Source organism: Homo sapiens, chromosome 8 (assembly GCF_000001405.40).
Source record: "Homo sapiens chromosome 8, GRCh38.p14 Primary Assembly".
In the NCBI taxonomy this organism is placed as follows: Eukaryota; Metazoa; Chordata; class Mammalia; order Primates; family Hominidae; genus Homo; species Homo sapiens.
The window spans coordinates 60,763,497-60,782,269 of NC_000008.11; the positions used below are offsets into that span (position 1 = coordinate 60,763,497).

The 18,773-nt window shown below is 39.9% G+C and overlaps 1 protein-coding gene across 11 annotated transcripts in view, besides 1 other annotated feature; it reads left to right on the forward strand.

Moving 5' to 3' along the window:
- Positions 1–18,773, forward strand: part of CHD7 (chromodomain helicase DNA binding protein 7) — a 189,289-nt gene that overhangs the window by 84,757 nt on the left and 85,759 nt on the right. For 10 of the 11 annotated variants that reach the window (XM_011517553.3, XM_047421945.1, XM_011517555.3 and 7 more), the window contains exon 3: positions 17,504–17,934. In XM_011517553.3, coding sequence (XP_011515855.1) covers positions 17,504–17,934 — 431 coding nt within the window. The remainder of the gene's footprint in view (positions 1–17,503; positions 17,935–18,773) is intronic. The other variant, NM_001316690.1, reaches the window with a different exon arrangement.
- Positions 16,979–18,178: an enhancer, noted in NCBI's record as "CDK7 strongly-dependent group 2 enhancer chr8:61693034-61694233 (GRCh37/hg19 assembly coordinates)". NCBI's record gives its function as "activates an origin of replication core promoter dependent on BRD2, BRD4, P300/CBP, MED14 and CDK7 cofactors, with strong dependence on CDK7, by STARR-seq in HCT116 cells {active_cell/tissue: HCT116}" and the evidence as "EXISTENCE:reporter gene assay evidence [ECO:0000049][PMID:35650434]".

Below are 18,773 nucleotides of genomic sequence, written 5' to 3' on the forward strand. Positions count from 1 at the left end.
CTGCCATGTCTCTTGCTTACTAGATGAGTGGTGACCTCCCAGTTGATGGAAGAATTTAGGAAAACAATGCAAGGTTTATTTCTTTAATATTTTTCAGGAATAAAGGGGCAGGAAGTAAGATGAGTTAAGTTTTAGAGTTTGAGATTTCGTTGAGACATTGGACCTTGTGGATAGGGAGCTTAGTAGAGAGTTTATGATCTTGAGGCCTGGGAAGAGGAGCAGAAGCTCTTTAAGCCCAGCATAAGACTCCCTGGCCTATCCCTTCCCCTCCTGAGCTGAGCCCACCACTCACTTGGACATCCTGTCACTACTCCCATCCTTTCTCTGGCTTGAGGGCTGTCTTCTTGGGCTTCAGTGGAAGATAGATAATCACCTCCCACCCCGACCAGTCAGTGGGCTGTGGTCAGAGAGGAAAAGAGGAGCATAGATGGGTCTGACTTCACAAACATGCCTTAACCTTCATCTGCAGTGACTGAAATAGTTCTTTCTTTTGTTCTTTCTTTTTTTTTGAGACAGAGTCTCATTCTGTCACCCAGGCTGGAGTGCAGTGGCACAATCTTGGCTCACTGCAAGCTCCGCCTCCCGGGTTCAAGCCATTCTCCCGCCTAAGCCTCCCGAGTAGCTGGTACTACAGGTGCCCGCCACCACGCCCAGATAATTTTTTTTGTATTTTTAGTAGAGACGGGGTTTCACCATGTTAGCCAGGGTGGTCTCAATCTCCTGACCTCGTGATCCGCCCGCCTCGGCCTCCCAAAGTGCTGGGATTACAGGTGTGAGCCACCGTGCCTGGCCTGACAGAAATATTTCACAGTTCATGAGCCATTCAGATTTTAAAGTTTATTTAAAAATTATGTACAATGAAATCACAAGCCATTTTGAATTAAAAAGAAGTAAGATTGAGATAGTTCAACTGCTACTGGAAAATGTCTGTACCTTTTTATTTTTGATATCAAATTCTGAGATCTTTTTCTGGGTCTCTTTCTAGCAGTACTTTTGTTTGGCAGTGTCTCTGGGAATGAGATGAGGGATTGCAATTAGTTCATGGCAGAAAGGGAATATTTGTTGCTTGTTGACTCTTATTTAGAATATTCAAAGATGAGGTAAGAAGCTCATCCATCTATTCAGCCATTCATTCATTCATTCATTCACCAGTCAACATTGTTGTGCATTTACAATGTGCTGGATGCTATGTGAGGTCCTGAAGGTATTCTCCCCTTTAAAAATCCCAGTTACCATGTAGTGATGTAACTGTAACAAAGAGATAAATGCAGACTTGTATGGGAGAAGAAATGCAGGGCCAGGAAGGAAGGTGAAGCTTGAGCCAGGTGAAAGGGGTGATGAAGGAGAAACTTACGCAGACATAGTACAGAACATGTAGCTTTCATAGAACAGCAAATGTTGCAATATTGCCTTGAAACAGTCTTCAAAATGTGCTTTCATTTATGTGTGCATTTGTTAGTTCTACAAAAGGTTCAAGGCACTGTGTTGAGCGCTCTGGAGGTGCAGCTGCTTTAAGGTGTAAATGCACGAGGCAGCATGAGTGCCCTTTTCAAGAGCAGAGAGCACATGAGCAGCTGCAGTACCCAGACTGAGGAGATGTGACATCCACATTAACATTTGAAGGTGTCGTGGGACTTTGATATTCCACCCGCAGACAATAGGCCTCTGGTATGTGTCAGTCCCTGCATTAGATGTTGGGGATATGCATACACACACACACACACACACACACACGCACACGCATGCATGCACACACACATGTATTTATATATGTGCATACACACACACCCCACACACATATGCATGCATGCACGCACGTGTATTTATATACATGCATACACACACACACACGTATGTATATATAAATGACAAGAGTATAACATGCTGCTGTCCTTCAGCCCCTCACAGTCCAGAGGACCTAATAATAGTCAGACAACATGATGTATGTTACTTGGCCTTGTGGGAGCACTTGACTCCACCTGGAGAGATTGGGGAAGGCCTTGGGAAGAGGTTATATTTAAACTGAGTTTTGAAGGTTGAGTAGGAATTAACTTGGAGAAGAGAGTGGGAAAGGACATTCTAGGCAGGAGGAATGATAAATCCACAAGCACTAAATTGGGAAAGAGCAAAGTGCCTTTGTGCGGCTGCTGCTGCTGAGCTTGGTAGGGTGCAGCGTGTGTGGTGGAGAGGAGGACATGGGCCAGGAGGGCCGGGGGCAGCCCCGCACCAGTGGTGCTGAGGGTTTCAGCTTTCAGTGTGGTTCACAGGGAATCACCAGTCAGTTGTACAGAAGCATGGGCGCTTTACATTTTAGAATGATCTTGCTAAAACCAGAAGATTTGCTGACGAAGATGAGACTAGCAGGAGACTGTGCCATGCAGACATGGAATCCTGATGACCACCCAGACTTAAGGGAGAACATAGAGGAACCAAGTCAGGAAAGGACAGACGAGGGAAGAATGGTCAGTGACAAGATATAACAGAGAGTAGTGGTGTAGTAGCAAAGGGTTTCCCCAACTTTGGTTTTTGAAAAACTTCTAATCCACAGAAAAGTTAAATGAATAATACAGTGCACACCTGCTTATCATTCACCTAGAACTAACAGTTGCTAACACTTTGTCACTTTTGCTTTAATCTGTTGCTGTCATTGCCCTCCTAAAGGAAGCAAGGGTGGCCATGGAGATATTTTGGCAAGAACTCTGAGGGCAGAGACAGCCTGTGCAAAGTCCCTGAGGTAGAAGGATGTGTAGCTTGTTGTCTGCTGGTAAGGAATTGATGTGGCTGAAGTGAGAGAAAGGGGGGGAATTATAGAAGTGTTAGGGAGGTAGCAGAGGTCCATATGATTGAGGGCCTTGCAGGCCATGGTGAGGTGAGGACTTTAGATTTTTCTGTGAGGGAGATGGGAAGGTACTGGAGATCTTTAAGAGAAACGTGATGCGATCTGATTTGCATTTTGAAAGAATTGCTCAGACTGTGTAGCAGATTAACCAGGGTAGACGGTAGGGCTAGCAACAGGAGGTCAGGTAGAGAGGTGACTGCTGTAGTCCAGGCAGGGTCTGATGTCACCTGAATAAGGATAGCAGTGGGGACAGGCCACTAGGAGTGTGTCCTTTGTCTACATTGAAGGTGGAGGCAGCGTGATTTACAGAATGGATTAGAGGTGATTCAAATGTAAGACTAAGTGAAGGGTCAAGGGTGACTCAAGTTTTTGGCTTCTGCTACTGGTGCAGTAACAGTTTGTGGAGAAATCAAGAACCTGTTTTGGAATGCCTTAAATTTGAGGTGCCTGCTGGGATATCTGCATGGGTATATGGACTATACAGCTGAATAGAGAAGTCTAGAGTTGAAGGAAGTGGTGTGGACTGGAGAAAGGACTTTAAGAATCATTGACATATAGGTAGTATTTAAAGCAATAGGTAGATTCTCTCGCTGGGAGAGAAAAAAGCACAGATAGAGTTGAGATCCAAACTCGGAGGCCTGGAGCGCCCCAGAAATTATAGGTCGAGAAGTTGACGAGAACCAGGAAGAGCCTGGAAGATAGGAGGAGAGAGGGCTGTCCTGCATGTCATGCGAAGAAGCGAGGAGTGAGCAGCTGTGACAGGTGCTGCTGATAGGTCAGGTGGGATGAGAAAGGAGAGCCTTGGAGGGCACCTTGGTGAGAGCAACTTTTGTGGAATATTAGTGTGCAGTCAGAGCAAGTTCAAGAATGAATGAGAGGAGAGGAAGTGAAAACAGCAAATATTGTTGCTCTTTCAAGGATTCTGCTCTAAAGGGGAGCAGTGCTGGAGGAAGATGTGTTGAGAGGCTCAGTAGATGCTTGAAGAAGTGAAGAAGGTGAGGTAGAAGGATGTGCAGCAGGAAGGAAGGTCAGGTAGGAGACAAATTCAAAAGTAGGTTGGTAGGTCACTTTGGAGGAGATAGCTATTTAAATTAGTCCTTGAGGCAGACTTGTTTTAAATGACTGAAAGAATGTTGCTACAAGGGTGTTCTGTGTTAGAGTGACTGAAAGCCAGTGCAGAGCTTGCCTTGGCTGGTGCTCAGTGGCTGCCGAAGCTCATGGCACTCTGGTGGTGGATATCTGTGCTGTTGCAGCCACATGCTCAGCTGTGCTGGGAAGAATTTGGGTCCCCAGAGGCTTCCTGTCCTTAACTCCCTGAAGTCAATGCTGTCTCCCTGCCCAGCAGCTCTGTGCGGGACTCCTCACGGTGCTGGGACTCACTCTGAGTGACTGCTGGTTCTTGTCCTTTCTGCTTTCTCTTTCTTCTCCCCTCTCTCTTCGTGGTTTGTTTGCTGTGGATCTAGGACTTCAGAGGTTCACAAACATGAATGAAGTTTTTATACTTAAGCATAATTATTCTGTGCACGGTGAACTGTCTAATAATTATTATTTTATGACATATATTCAGCATAGACTAAAGTTACTGCGAGAAAACCTCACAGATGTTAGTTAGGTATCTGAAATGAGATGGTATATTATAGGTATGTTGTTCTGAAAGTTTTTTTATGGGAAAAGTAAATTGTATTTGAAGGTTTAGTTTAGATTTGTATTCTAGTATATTTTATTTTATTCTGGCATTTCATAGTTTTTCAAATCAATTTTATTTTTCTGTGTGTATCTGAGAAACTTCCTTAATACTCCCCTCTGAAATCATTTTTACTTCCCCCACCCCGTCTTACAAATACTTCATTCCTTACTCCATTTTCATTTTCGAAGTGTGGAGATAGTTATTATTGAAGCAGGACCAGAGCAGAGACCCCCAGATGGTCTGAGAGTTAGAAGAGACTTTATAGAGATCAGTTCATCCAATTCCATTCTAGATGAGGAAGTTGAGGCATCTTGAGTTGTTTTCCCATTTGATTATTATGATCAGAAACCAAACCTAATATTAAATCCTTCAAGGTTTACTATCCTTCCTTCTAACAACTTCTCTAAAAGGAGCCACTCACAGGCAGTGACTGGTGTACTTGGATGGGGTGGCTGCAGCCCTGCAATACCATGGGCTGCCCAGTGTTAGGGCCATCTGGGCCAGCACCGCTCAGACCCTGCCCTCCAACTTGTATTAGTTTGGTCCTTCCTCATTGAGATAAATTCGTTCTGCATGTTGTTTCCTGTTTGCCAGCTGTCCCTGGGGATTGTGGGGGTGGTGACAGATTCAAAAACCTGTGAGATTGCTCCTCAAGTAATTGCTATTTACATTTCTGAATTTGCTGTAGTAGAAACTGAAGAGAAAATCTTTAGGCTCTTGGTCAGTACTGGACTAGATATCAGACGACTATTACATTTTGGTACTACAGAGTTCATTCAAATAATTTTGAATAATAACGTTAAGCTACCATGAAAAAAAAAACCTGCACTCCTTTGTTTGCAATAATTCATACATAAATACTGCTAAAACACCCCATCTTATGTGACTAAGTACATTCTTATTCATCACCCCAAATTGTATTTTAAATGAGAATATCAGAACATTAAGTATTTGTATTTTAGGCTGAAATGAAGATATTCTGTCATAAGTCATCTAAAGTAATATGTTTTCAAAGTAGGGATGAATCTTTGATATAAAGAAGTTGAAATAGAAAAAAACCTCAAGTATAAATCCTTTTGTAATAGCATCTCTGTAGCATTTTTCAAAGCGTTCAGGTATTTCCAAATAAACTCATGTTTAAGAACTCTAACTAAGGCTGCTGAATAGATGCTAAGGCCAGGCTAAATCACACAGCCGTTTAAACTGAAACAGCTCAGTTCAGAGGGTACTGCTGTTTTATAACCATATTTAAAAATGTGTTCCTCTTTTACTCCCTCAAACTGGGTTCAGGGATATAATGGATCCCATTATAGGTAAAAGGTCTGTGACTCAGCCATCGAGCTACTCAAACTCTTGGCTGTTTTAATTGCCACCATTAAAGCTTTAGTACTTTTATCTCATAAAAATAGATATCATTGATGTAAAATGTGTGCCTATTGAAGATACGTGTGTACCTCTGCCCTTATAGTTAGCTAATCAACCATTTGAGTTTAAAGTTAGTTAGGTTTTATGCAGATGGGAACATGACATAGATCACAGATTTGTTCAGGTTTAGTCATTTAATTAAGAAAAAAATTCCATGTAGTAGTAAGGGCAATATCTAACTAGAATGTCTTCCAAGATGAAACTTATTTTGTTTTGGTTTGCCTTTTAACTACATTTAATTGACGGAACGATGGTGAATTTTTACTAGTCTCTTTCTTGAAAGAGAATAGTGTTTTTTTTGTGATTCTAATACTGTGACTTCAGTGATTCAAGGAAATACTTGAACCACTCTTCTGTCCCTATTTGACACATCTGTTTAAGTGTGGTAATTGGAGATGTTTCTCTGGTTGTATTTTGGTGTATACTTGTAGACAAAAATAAAGCCCTGCAAAGGGGAAAATACCAAAGTGTGAAGGAAACTTCAAGAACACACTGGAAACTAAATGTTAAGATGTGAAAAGCTAGTTCTTTCTGGGCTTTTTCTTCCAGTATTTGAGCATGTCACAGCCATTCATTATTCATATTGTGCTATGCAAACAAGGTGCAGTGACTCTAGAAGAGTTCTAAAATGAGTACATCTCAGGAAAGCTTAACTGCCTAACCACTGCGTACATACACATTGCTTTCTCTGTTGTGAAAATAAATTAGCAAATAATTGGTGGGACAGTTTATTAAGTTATTCTGTTCTGCAGTTGTTATTGAGGGATTGTATTCAGATAAGAGAGAAAATCTGACTGTAAAAGGGACTCAAATCTGAACAGTTCTAAAACTAAAACCTACTCACACAAAACATTTATGAGCTGATATACATAACCAGGCTTCTATTCTTGCCCAGCTGTGTAGATTCAATTATAATAATTTTCTCACTTGCACAACACTGCTGTTTGTTTATTATTGCGTTATTAGTTAGTGAATGAACCTCCCTCTTTTTGACCCCTCAGCAGTGTTTATAAAACACTTAATTGCTTTGGTGTCTTCTGTTTCATGTGTAGTTCCAGCTGGAAGGAGTCATGGGGACACAGTCCCCTCTAAGTGTTAAACTGACTGTTTGTAATATGCAGCAAACTTTCTTTCCAAGTAAGTATCAGGAACCTTTAATATTGCTTATAACACAGCTGCTTAGATATTTTTGCTTGAAAATGCAGAGGTTTTTAATTTTTTTTTCTTTTTTAATCTCCCTGTGATGATTTACATGGTAGTTAACTATCTAACTTGTTAGACTCTAGCTTTTTAAAATGCTCTTTTGCTTATCGTAGGCACTCCCTTTATCTCACCTGGACTCTTCCTGTCTGAACGGGTCCTACCTCTGCCCAGCTGTTACCTTACACCAAGTTCTCTTTGCCATTACATCTTCCACTTCTTTGGAGAAACTTAAGCAGAATTGTGTGAGCAACAACGATTAGGTAGTAGGCATAATGTTTGAGAATGTGGGCTTTGCCAGAGGTTGCCTGGTTTGAATCTTGATTCTTCTTATAACCAGCTTTTTGTGATGTGCAGCAAATTTCTTAACCTCTTTGAATGCCTTCATTTCCCCATCTGTAAAATGGTGATAACTTCACTGGTTGTCTGGAACAGTGCTGGGCACAGAGGTGCTCAGTGATATCACAGCAGTGGCCTCTTTACAAAGGCTTAATGAAGGAAGTCCTGCTGTGCTGTCTTTATGTGAAAGGATAAATATCTCACTAGGAAAGGGGAATCCTAGGTAGAAAAACAATTTCAGATGAGAGTTGCAGAAGATTTTAAAGTATACATTAGTTATTTATTGTTATGTGACACTTTACAGGTTGACTATCTCTCATTCAAAATGCTTGGATTGAGAAGTGCTTTGGATTTCAGATTTGTTTCAGATTTTGGAATATTTGCATTATGCTTATTTGTTGATCATCCCTAATTTGAATATCTGAAATTGAAAATGCTCCATTGAGCATATCCTTTGAGTGGTATTTCAGTACTCATTAAGTTTCAGATTTCGGAGCATTTAGATTTCAGATTTTTAGATTAGGGATACTCACTCTGTACCACAAACTTTATGGCTTAAAACAATATCTATTTCCTCTCTCAGTTTCCGTAGATCAGAGTTTGGGCATGGTTTAGCTGGGTCCTCTACTCGAGCCTCACAAGGCTGTAGTCAGACGTCATTAGGACTGTGTTCTCATCTTGACTGGGGAGTCTTGACTGGGGAGGAATCCATGTTCAGATTCATTCAGGTTGTCCACAGAATTCATTTCCTATGCTATATGACTTGGGTGGGGGGCTTCAGTAATTGCTGGCTGTTGCCTGGGGCCACCTTCAGCTCCTGAAGTCTGCCTGAAGTTCTGCACCATGTTGGGTTCCCTGGCAACGTAGAGTTCCCACCCTCAAGAAGGGTCCCCACCCTCTTTAAAAGTGTCCCCCAGTCAGACCTAGCCAGAATAATTGCCCTTTAAGTAACTCCAAACCAATTGATTTGGAAATCTTGATTACACGTGAAATCCTTTTACCTTCGCTGTATTCTGTTGGCTTGAGGGTCGCAGGTCCCTCCATAGTCAGAAGATAGAGATAATGGGGCCATCTTGGAATTCTGCCTCCCCACAAGATGTACGTGAGTTTTTATAGGACAAGAGTAGTCTGTCATTAAGCAATTATTGAAAACTAAATTTGCCAGACTCTCAATCTTTGAATCCTGGAGAACTTGCCTAGAGTGTGTAAATTAACTTTATCACTATGCTCCTTATAAATTGATTTTTTTTCCCTTCAAAAATTGTTTTGTTCCCAATTCTGCACAAACCCCTGGGATTGTTCAGTGTTGCAGACACACCTTTGACAGTCTTTGAAGTTTGACTTTTAAAATTCTTAGGAACAGCATAGTAAGTTACTTTTAATATTGATCCTTTTAAGGTAGTAGAAACTTAAATGCAAATTTGGTAAAAATTGCTTTTCCAGAACCAAATTCTGCATTTCTTCTTTCCAGTTTAAAGATTAAACATGCAAAGCGTTTTGACCAGCCAGGAAGCACTGCTGTTGTCTTTTGTTTTGCCAAGTTTGATCCTTAGTAAGCTGGGTAGCTTCAGGTGTGGGTGTCCACTGCCAAATTCAAACTTCCAGACACCTCTTTGAGAACACTATGGACCTTAGGGCCAACTTGAAACAAGACAGATGCCTTGAGACTGAAATAGGTTCTATAGATTCTCATTCCTGTATAGTTACTAAGGTGAGCCCACTAAGGGAAGGGCAATATGCAAGGTGATGAAGAAAAGAGAGAAGGGAGAGAATGAAATTTACTTTGTTAAGGCCCATGAACATACTGTCTTTGTCATTTTTACTTCTAGAAAATAATGTCCAGTAGAAGAACATTTGCTGATTTACTGCCATAAGGAGCTCAGGAATTTAGAACAAGAGGGTGAAAGTATGACTGTGTCTCAGATTCCTCTAATGGGCTCATATTTTGGTTTGCTTATGGTTAGTCAGAGGCACCATGATGTTCACATTGGAGACCCTGCGTTTTGTTGGGTTATTGCTCTTGTTCTGTCATTTCCATTCAGTCATTTATAAAGCAGCAACAATATCACCCACCTCACCAACCTCATAGGGTTATTATAGGAATCCAAGAGAAGAGGTATGTAAAATGTTCAACAGAGAAAATAGGTGGGCAGGCCTGCTGCCTCAGGGGGGTACCCCTCTGCTTGTGGCCTGGGAGATCTAGGAAGTTACTCACTCTTACTGCAATAAACTTTGTATTGTGTTGCATTTGTGGTGGTTTTTGTTTCTTCCCTGCCCAGAGAAATGATGGTTTCTGTTGGCCCTCTTTTTTCTCACAAAATTACTTCAGGGATAGGAGATGTAAGATCAGGAACACAGTCTAAATACTGGCATACCCTTTTTAGAAGGCTGGCACATGTAAAAACATCATTCAAGTCTTGTATAAACAAGCTAATTTTTGCAAGCATTTATGAAGCAACAGAGACACATCAAAAGCATGTTCAATTTAGCATTAGCTCAACTCTGTGCCCTAGGGGTGTGTGTGTAGATAAACAGGCTGTTTCAACTATATGGCCCCTAAGTGCAAGCCTGTGACTTCATCTGGTACTTTTCCTAAGAAGTAGCAATGAATCTGTGACAAAGATGGCGAAAACTGGCTTAGTTACAGTCTTTGAAATATAGTAGATGGTGATTTGGGGTGGGGAGAGTTTTCAAGGCAGGGCAAGGAGCGGGCTAATTTTTTTGTGGTTCCTGAGGAATTGGTTCAGTCCCTGGGACAAATTAGGCCTCGATATTGATTGCATTGAATTATGCTAGTGGAGTGATTTTTGAGAATCATAGTGGATAATGTTTGTTGGCTGCAAAACACAATAAGAATGCCAGTTCTTACCTACATTTTTATCTTTGGGTAAAAGGTTAGTGATTCTCTACAGCTTTAGTTCGGAACTAAACTAGAGTTCTTCCCTGACCCTTTGAAGGCAAAAATCTCAAATTTGTATTAAATTTTTTAGCCATCTTAACCTGCAGATTAGGGTTAGGATCTTAAATAGAAGTAAGGCCTTTATGGTTTTGGAGAAGGACAGCAGTCTACTCCCTAGGCTTGTGCTGTGGCTACAACTAGGGTTGGAGAACTCCACAGCCACTCCCTCTGGCTGAGGATACCACTGTTGGGGGTCCTGGTCACATTCCAGACCTTCTCACAAGAGGCTTGGTAAAGTATGTGGATTTTGTAGCAGAGCTCCTATGTTAGGATTCCAGTTTTGCCATTTTCTAGCTGTGTAACTTTGGGTAAATTAATCTTAAGGTTTCGGTTCCATCATTTATGAAGCAGCAATAATATAACTCACCTCACCAGCCTCATAGGGCATTACAGGAACTGAAGATGAGGTATGTAAAATGCTTAGCAGAGCACATGCCACATGTAACTATACAACAGATGATTAAAGGAAACATTCAGTACAGTGTTGCAGGATGGCTTTAGGACTGGTACTTTGGTGCTGTCTCTCTGCTCAGCACCCTCTTCCCATTGCCCTAGAAGGGCCAGGCTGGGGCAGCTTTGCTGGCCCAGCAGCGTGGCTCTGTGCTTGCAGAGCTGACCCTCGCCCATTGGTACCCCTGGGCCTGCAGGGCAGCACCCAACCAAGGGTGGACAACTGGTCAGAGTCATGTTGGTTGAAAACAGAGAGACAGGAAAGGGGAGAAGGCTGGAAGGGCAGTGGTGGGTATGGCGGAGGGTGAAGGAGCTGGGAGCAAACACCTTGCTCTCCTCCACTTGCGGGGAGCTTTGTTTCATTTAGAATTTCTCAGACATTTAGAAAAGGGTTTAGCATTGGCAGAGTTTCACTGCTTATGTTATCCCAGTCAATCTGACTATAGAAACACCACAGCATAGTGTTTTACACATTGTGAATGCTGTTGGACAGTTCCTGTGGTATCACTCCACTCCTAAATATGGAGAACATGCTTAGTATGCTGTTTCTGATGTGAAACTTTTCAACAGTAAATCTAACATGACTGCTTGGTTCATTATTTCCATTGTTTCAGATGCTACTAATTCAGAATGTGTTTATAATTTAGATGCCATAAAGGTGGCTCATGTTAATTTGTAGCCATTTAAGATTTTGTTTATATGGTGAATCTGTTCTAAGGACAGCTTTAAAACACAAGCAGAAAGGCAAAGGTTCAAAAACGCCTTCAGATAATTTTTCAGCTAGATGTTTCAACAGTAATTTAAACTTTTTATTTTTAAAATTTAATGATTCTGAGGTACATGCTAAGATAAATTATTTCATTATGCTATTTCAAAATTCATTTTATTTTACTTTGTAATTATCTTGACATATAGGAATATGTAACAAAAATTATACAAGTCATTCTTATATGCTTATACTACTTTATTCCTACCAGTAACTTAAATTGAGAATAAAATAAACTCAGCCAATTCAGTGAGCTGTTTCAGTGCATTTTATATAAAGTTATATTTGTGCATAGTGTAATATACTATCTTTTGAAACATTTGATAATCAATGTTTTGAGAAAGACAGATGGACAGATACACATGCTTACGTACCCCTGTGCTAGAGAAGGTGATGAATTTGCCATGCTATCACTATATCAGTATAATCAAAAGTATATTTTGAAGGACATTTTAATTCAAGATCTTCATGGAAAGAAGGGAAGCCATGGCTAAACACCCTTAGGACACTCTCTGTACTGTCTCCAGTGCCCCCTTTCCTCAGTCTATTAAGGGCTTGGAAAGTCCTGCAGTGAAGAAAACTGAATTTTGGTTAGCACAGAATTCTTTATTTTTGAAACGGAGTCTTGCTCTGTTGCCTAGGCTGGAGTACAGTGGCGTGATCTCGGCTCACCGCAACCTCCAACTCCCGGGTTCAAGCAATTCTCCTGCCTCAGCCTCCCAAGTAGCTGGGATTACAGGTGCATACCACCACGCCCGGCTAATTTTTTGTATTTTTTAGTACAGACGGGGTGTCACTATGTTGGCCAGGCTGGTCTCCAACTCCTGACCTCAGGTGATCTGCCTGCCTTGGCCTCCCAAAGTGCTGGGATTACAGGCGTGAGCCACTGCATTTAGCCTATCACAGAATTCTTTAAACTCATGTTACCTGAGACCTGTTTTTATGTGACACATTTGAATATCCTTAACTTGTTCTATACTTTTTGCCTTCTCAATTAATTCATATAGTCATTCAGTATAAATATGTTTTCCTGGAAATTGTTAAGAATGAGCTGAATAAAACTAACTGGCATATCAAAAGACTTGAACTCAGGGCCCTGAATTCATTAATACTGATTTTAATCAAGCAGAAAATACTTCAGTCCTTGATTCTCTTAAGAATATTTTTGTGCTTTTTATTTTATATCAAATAATTAAAGTTTATTACCCCAGTTGACCATTCAAACTACTATCCGCTCATCTTGATCTCCTCCCTTACAAAGCAGATTTTAAAAGCTTGCTTGTGAAGCATTTGCATGCCTGCAGCCACCCAGTCTCAGGCAGGATTTGTTGTTCAAGCTGGTTCCTCTGCCTCCCCCTCTCTCTCAGCCTGGGACAGTTTTTAGAAAGCCTCCCTGGTCTCAGCCTGGGTTAGGTGCTCTGCACTCTTTCCCAGCAGGTACTATGGCTGCCTTGTTTACTGTTAGAGCCTCAAATATTTGTTGAATAAATATATGAATTGGGTACTAGATACCAAATGCATCTTCTTTTTTATCAGTGTCATTGTTATAATCTCAATAGGACTTGCCGAAACGTTGCTAAATGCTCTTTTGAATCATTGCACACTCTTCTGGCTGAAGATCGAGCTTCACTTTTCATACCAGAATTCCTTTTTTGAAGAGTGTAGAGGGGTCAAGAACCTGGGGAATACTGGAAAAAATAAAAGTTAAGAATGTCTGTAATAAAAATGTGTCTCCAAAGCCATTTTTAAGATACCAAATAGTATGTTTCAGTCTTAAATGACTACTTGCTATTTGTATTTTCATGAGCCATTTAAGCAATAGTTTAGTGTTCTAAAAGCTTGTATTTATGTTACTTGGGACTTAATTGGCCTGCCTCTTCTTCACCAGAATCTTATTTTCTCTGAGAGCACAAGTGCCTCCTCCTCATTGCCTCCCTTTAGCTTAATTTGTGGGGAGGCTTTTGTTTTCATAAGTACCATGTTATTCTGGTCCGCTTGGTACCATCTTTTCTTTTCCTATAAAGCATTGTTTTGATTTTAGACTTGTTTGTATGTAAATAAACATGTAAATAAATACATTTGTCTGTAAATAAAATGTTTATCCTTGGGTGCCCTGTATGACAAAATGTTGGTTTGCAGAGATCATACATGTGGAAGCATTGCACACACTGTTAACATTGCATCACTTGCTCATGCTATACTCAAAATTGCTAACAGGCTGAGGCTTCAGCAGTGTAATTAAGGCAAAACATGATGAAATTAGATAGCTTTTTAAGCCAGAAAATGCTGATGAATTGTGGAAGAAAAGCACATTGAGATAAATAAAAAGTTGCTTTTTTACATATCTTTTCATTTTCTTTGATGATTCTTCTATGCATTTTGGGTTGGATTTGCTTAAAAGAAGCAGAGGGATTGCTCTCACTTCCCCCATCGGGTCTCCTTTGGTTAAATTTGCATCTTGTCCATTCTGCTGTTTTATATACGATAATTTAGTTGTATGTCTTTTCTGATTTATATGTTGTGAACAATGGAGTTAAGGAAAAGAACAATTGTCTGTAGCTTATGGTAATGTTTTCAACAAAACACACTCACCTTAGATCATTTTTATTTATAGTTTAAGTATCAGTTATGCTGTTTAAGTTCCAAAAGTTCATGGCAGTCTTTATATATTCCATAATGTTCCAAATGGGATATGGAATTATAGTAGAATATATGTCAAGCAGAAAGTTTGACAGGATGTTATTTAAAAATACCTTTGGTATCTAACATTCTCCATGTTTGCTCTAATAAATGAGAGGTTTTAGGAATGCCCTACATGGTAATATCAGATGTTAATGGCATTGATTACCTGTCAGGCAGTGGGAATTGATGGGAAAATGTCTGCTGTAAAATTAAATAGTATTAGAGAAGACTGTACCATGCATCTGGTGGGGTGGGGGGTGGAGGGGGGGACATGGCTGGGCCTGGGAGACTTTGTCAGGGTATTACTGGGAGCTCCAGGTTTTTTTCCCCACATGATTAAGGCAGGCCATCTGTTCTTTGTTAAATGTTTACAAAAACAGCTTTTCTCTAAAAGATTTAAGGAGATGTGGGTCTGGTAAACACTGTAATATTTCTGAGCACCTTTTTCACCCTATTTCAGATAGTACCAAAACATAATTCTGCTGCATATCAAACAGAATTAATACTTTTTTGTATTTGATCTTCACTTTTTTCCTCCTTATGCAAGATTAAATTTTTTACTGAGTTACTAATTTATTGCTTCATTTATTACTAAAAGGAGCATCTAACATGATTTGCATGCTAAAGTGTGTAAACTTTAAATCTTTTTGTGTTATATGTTTTATGCTTTTTCTAATTCATTACTGTGTGCTGGGGAATCTCTCATTAGAAGCTGGTGTTCTGTTACTGGAGCAAATGCCATGCAGATTAAAGAAAGGTAAACATACCTGGTATTAATTCTCCATTCTAAGTTTTAATCATTGTTTAGACTTTCCTCTTTTCCTCTCTTTCCAGAAACAGCTTTTTCTTTCATTTCCTGAAAAATAGCTTGTCCCAAATAAGTTTGATCTCCGTGTCCTGTGCAAAAAAGATAGGGCTTTTTCCTTTTTAATTACATTAAGGAATAATATGTACAAACTAACTCAACTTATGCAAACTAAATATAAAACAGTTAAATCAGGTCCATTGATACTTAGGTAGTGATAATTTGGACAGTGCCTCTGTTGATGTGTAAGAGTGTTTGTGAGGAAAGGATAGAGGGGCAGAGGGTAACTTTGGCAGTGTTTAGTTAGTTGTGTTATCCCTGCATGGAAATCTGCTCATGTAGATCTACATCTGTGTATTCTTCTTCAAACTTTGACCTTGCCTCTGTGTTTCCTATATATCGTTACTCTTTTTTCAGCCTCATTCTCCCTTAGCTATGACCAGCAAAGGGCAATAAGTATTTTAAGATTTTTTAATGCCACAGGATTTTGGAAGAAACTTTGGAAATCACCTATCAATCACCTAACCCAAAACCTTCATTTTGCAGAAAAAGAAACTAACCCCAGATGGGTGAAGTGATTTTTTCCCAGATGATATAGCTGACGGTAGGGCCTGGACTTGAATTTTAATCTCTTAACTCAGAGTTCTGGGCTCTTTCTCTTACACCAGTGCAATTGAGTGAAACCTGTGAGCCTTTCCCAGAAAGATGCTGTGTAGAAGATGTTAGGAAGAGGTGGACAGAATCAGAAAGTACTAGAGTTAGGAAACTAGATTCAAATCTTAGCTCCGTCACTAACTGTGTGACCTGGGGTGGCCACATCACCTTCTTGGACTTTTCCTTTCTGAAAGTTGGGGGTAAATTATCACTTTTTTGTTATGAGATTCAGGGGAATTAACACATCTAGCAAACATAACCTAGCTTGGTGCATGGCATCAAATAGCCGCTCAGTCAATATTAGGTGTATTGGAATCGAATTTACAGTACCTGTATTTTAATGTTTGATTCTAACCTTCCTCCTTTTCTCGTAGTAAGCCTTGGCGTGTACAGTAGTCACGAGGCTCTGGAGATGTGGGCCTGGGCTCGTCTGCCTGCTCCTCTTCTGTAGGTCATGTGCTGAGGAGTGAGGACTCTGGAGCTATTGGCTCTGATGGCAGTCTCAGTTCTGTCACTTAACATCTGTACCTCCTCGGACAAGTTACTTCATCTTAGAGTGGCGGTGTCTTCAACTATAAAATTTGAAGAATCACCTAACGCTTAGGGCTGGTGTGAGGATTGAATGGTACCACGGTGTAAAGCATATATGCCTGGCACATAGTAGATCGTTTACATTACAGTTAGTGTTACATGCCAGAAGAAGCATATGAGAAAGGCAGGAAATGAGAGACATATGTAGATTTAATATTTTCAAGTATTTTGTTGAAATATAAATGTTCGTTAGATGTCATAATTTATGGTATAGATGATAATCCAGGCAGCCCTGCTCTGGTTTGGATGGTGAGCTATGAGGGAGGCTGTTGTATGCAGGAGTCACTTCCTCTGATCTTGGCTGACCACTCAGAATCCCATTCTAAATGTGGTTATTTTTCTACTCTATTTAAGATAGTCTCTGGGTGTATCCCTAGTGAAAGTCAAGAACCTCCCAAAGGCATGTCACATTAATTTATTTGGGTTATCTCTCCCTTGGTGAAATTTTGAAATATAAAGCCTTAAAGAGGTTAAGAAAAACATGTTCCACCTTTCATGTCAATGCAAGAAATTTCACCAATCCAAAATCATCAAGTTTGGGTATGTGCTTTTAATTTGATATTTTAATGTTGTTTAAACCAGAAATGACTTGTATTGTATTAGATTTATGTGTTATGTTTACACTTTTATTTCAGACTTTCACAGTACTAGAATCTTGCAATGTTCAGTATACTTGCTCATTTTAAAAATGGCTAAATTATATACCTTTTATTTGAGCTCCCATTCCCACATGGGGCTAGAACTCAACTTAGATGTATTCTTTGTGGCTTAGTCTTGGTGCTGTTTTGCCATTCACCATTTTCATGTAGGCTGTTTAAAAAACAGACAGTGTCTTCAGTTGAGTGAGTTTTTACTTCCTGAACTGATTTTTTTTTACTGTATTAACTAAAGTGCTATTTTAAAACTTTCTTTCTTAAAAGATTCTCTCTTAAACATACATTTTTTTTGGATGAGAGAAGCTGATAGATTCTACAACTGTATAGTTGGAAAAATATTTGCTACCTGAGTATAGAATAAGTTTCAGAAACATCAGCCACTAACTTTCAGTTCTTTTCTTTACTGTGAAGAATGATAAACTAATTTCAATTCCTATTTGTGTCTCTCAGCATTCCCCGTCGGAGCCCTTTCTAGAGAAACCAGTGCCGGATATGACTCAGGTTAGTGGACCGAATGCTCAGCTAGTGAAGAGTGATGATTACCTGCCATCAATAGAACAGCAGCCACAACAAAAGAAGAAGAAAAAGAAAAACAACCACATTGTAGCAGAGGATCCCAGTAAAGGTTTTGGTAAAGATGACTTCCCTGGTGGGGTAGATAACCAAGAACTAAATAGGAACTCACTGGATGGGTCCCAAGAAGAAAAAAAGAAAAAGAAAAGGTCAAAGGCAAAAAAAGACCCGAAGGAACCGAAAGAACCCAAGGAGAAAAAAGAGCCCAAGGAACCCAAGACCCCGAAAGCCCCTAAGATTCCCAAAGAGCCAAAGGAAAAGAAAGCAAAAACTGCCACGCCAAAACCCAAATCCAGCAAAAAGTCAAGGTAGGCTGTGGGCAGAAAAAACAACTGCAAAACATTGAGAGTACAGAAATTAGCGCCAAATAGTTACAGCCTATGAAATGAGGGGTGGGAGGGGACACAATGATTTTTGTCATCATTGAGTTTCTTTCCCTAATATCCAAACTAAAAAGCTAAGGCTTTTACGCATTCTGAAAGTTAGGACTTATTGTTGTGAACTGTTGATTTACAGACCTTACTGGATACAAATTAAAAATCAATTTTTTATATTTTTATGAAAACTTATCATTTAGCAAATGGAATGAAGTTAGCAGTATAATTATTTATAAGAATAGACCAGCAACCTCATTTTCAGTGATGATATAAAACTGGATAAGAAGGATTATAGAAGAAAGGTCACTATATTTCACTAAGCATTCCAGCCCTTCTTCCCAGAGGTTGAACCAGGATTGTTAATTCTCTCCACTTGGCGGAGTAAGCCTTCCAGGAGCAGGGTTGAAATCCTAGTGAGCAGCGCAAGAGAAATCAAATAGTACTTGTCCATTGGATATGCATTCAAGAGTAGCATGAATTTTAGGTTCTAGGGAAGACCCTCTTTCACTCCATATTCCCCCCATCAATTCTCTGACCGCTCCCCCAATTTCTTACCCCATTTATTCGGTAAGAAAAACTGAGAGGAGAAGACATTGAAGACTAATTTTTTTCATTTGTAGTGAATGTTTCTTACAACTGTTCTGAACCAGTTCCAGACATCTGAATCTGTTTTTCAGAATGTGGCTCATGTTAGAAAATATAGTTTCCAGATGGAACTATGGTCAGCCTTGGTTAATCCGAATCTGTTTGCAAACTCCATTAGAAAACAC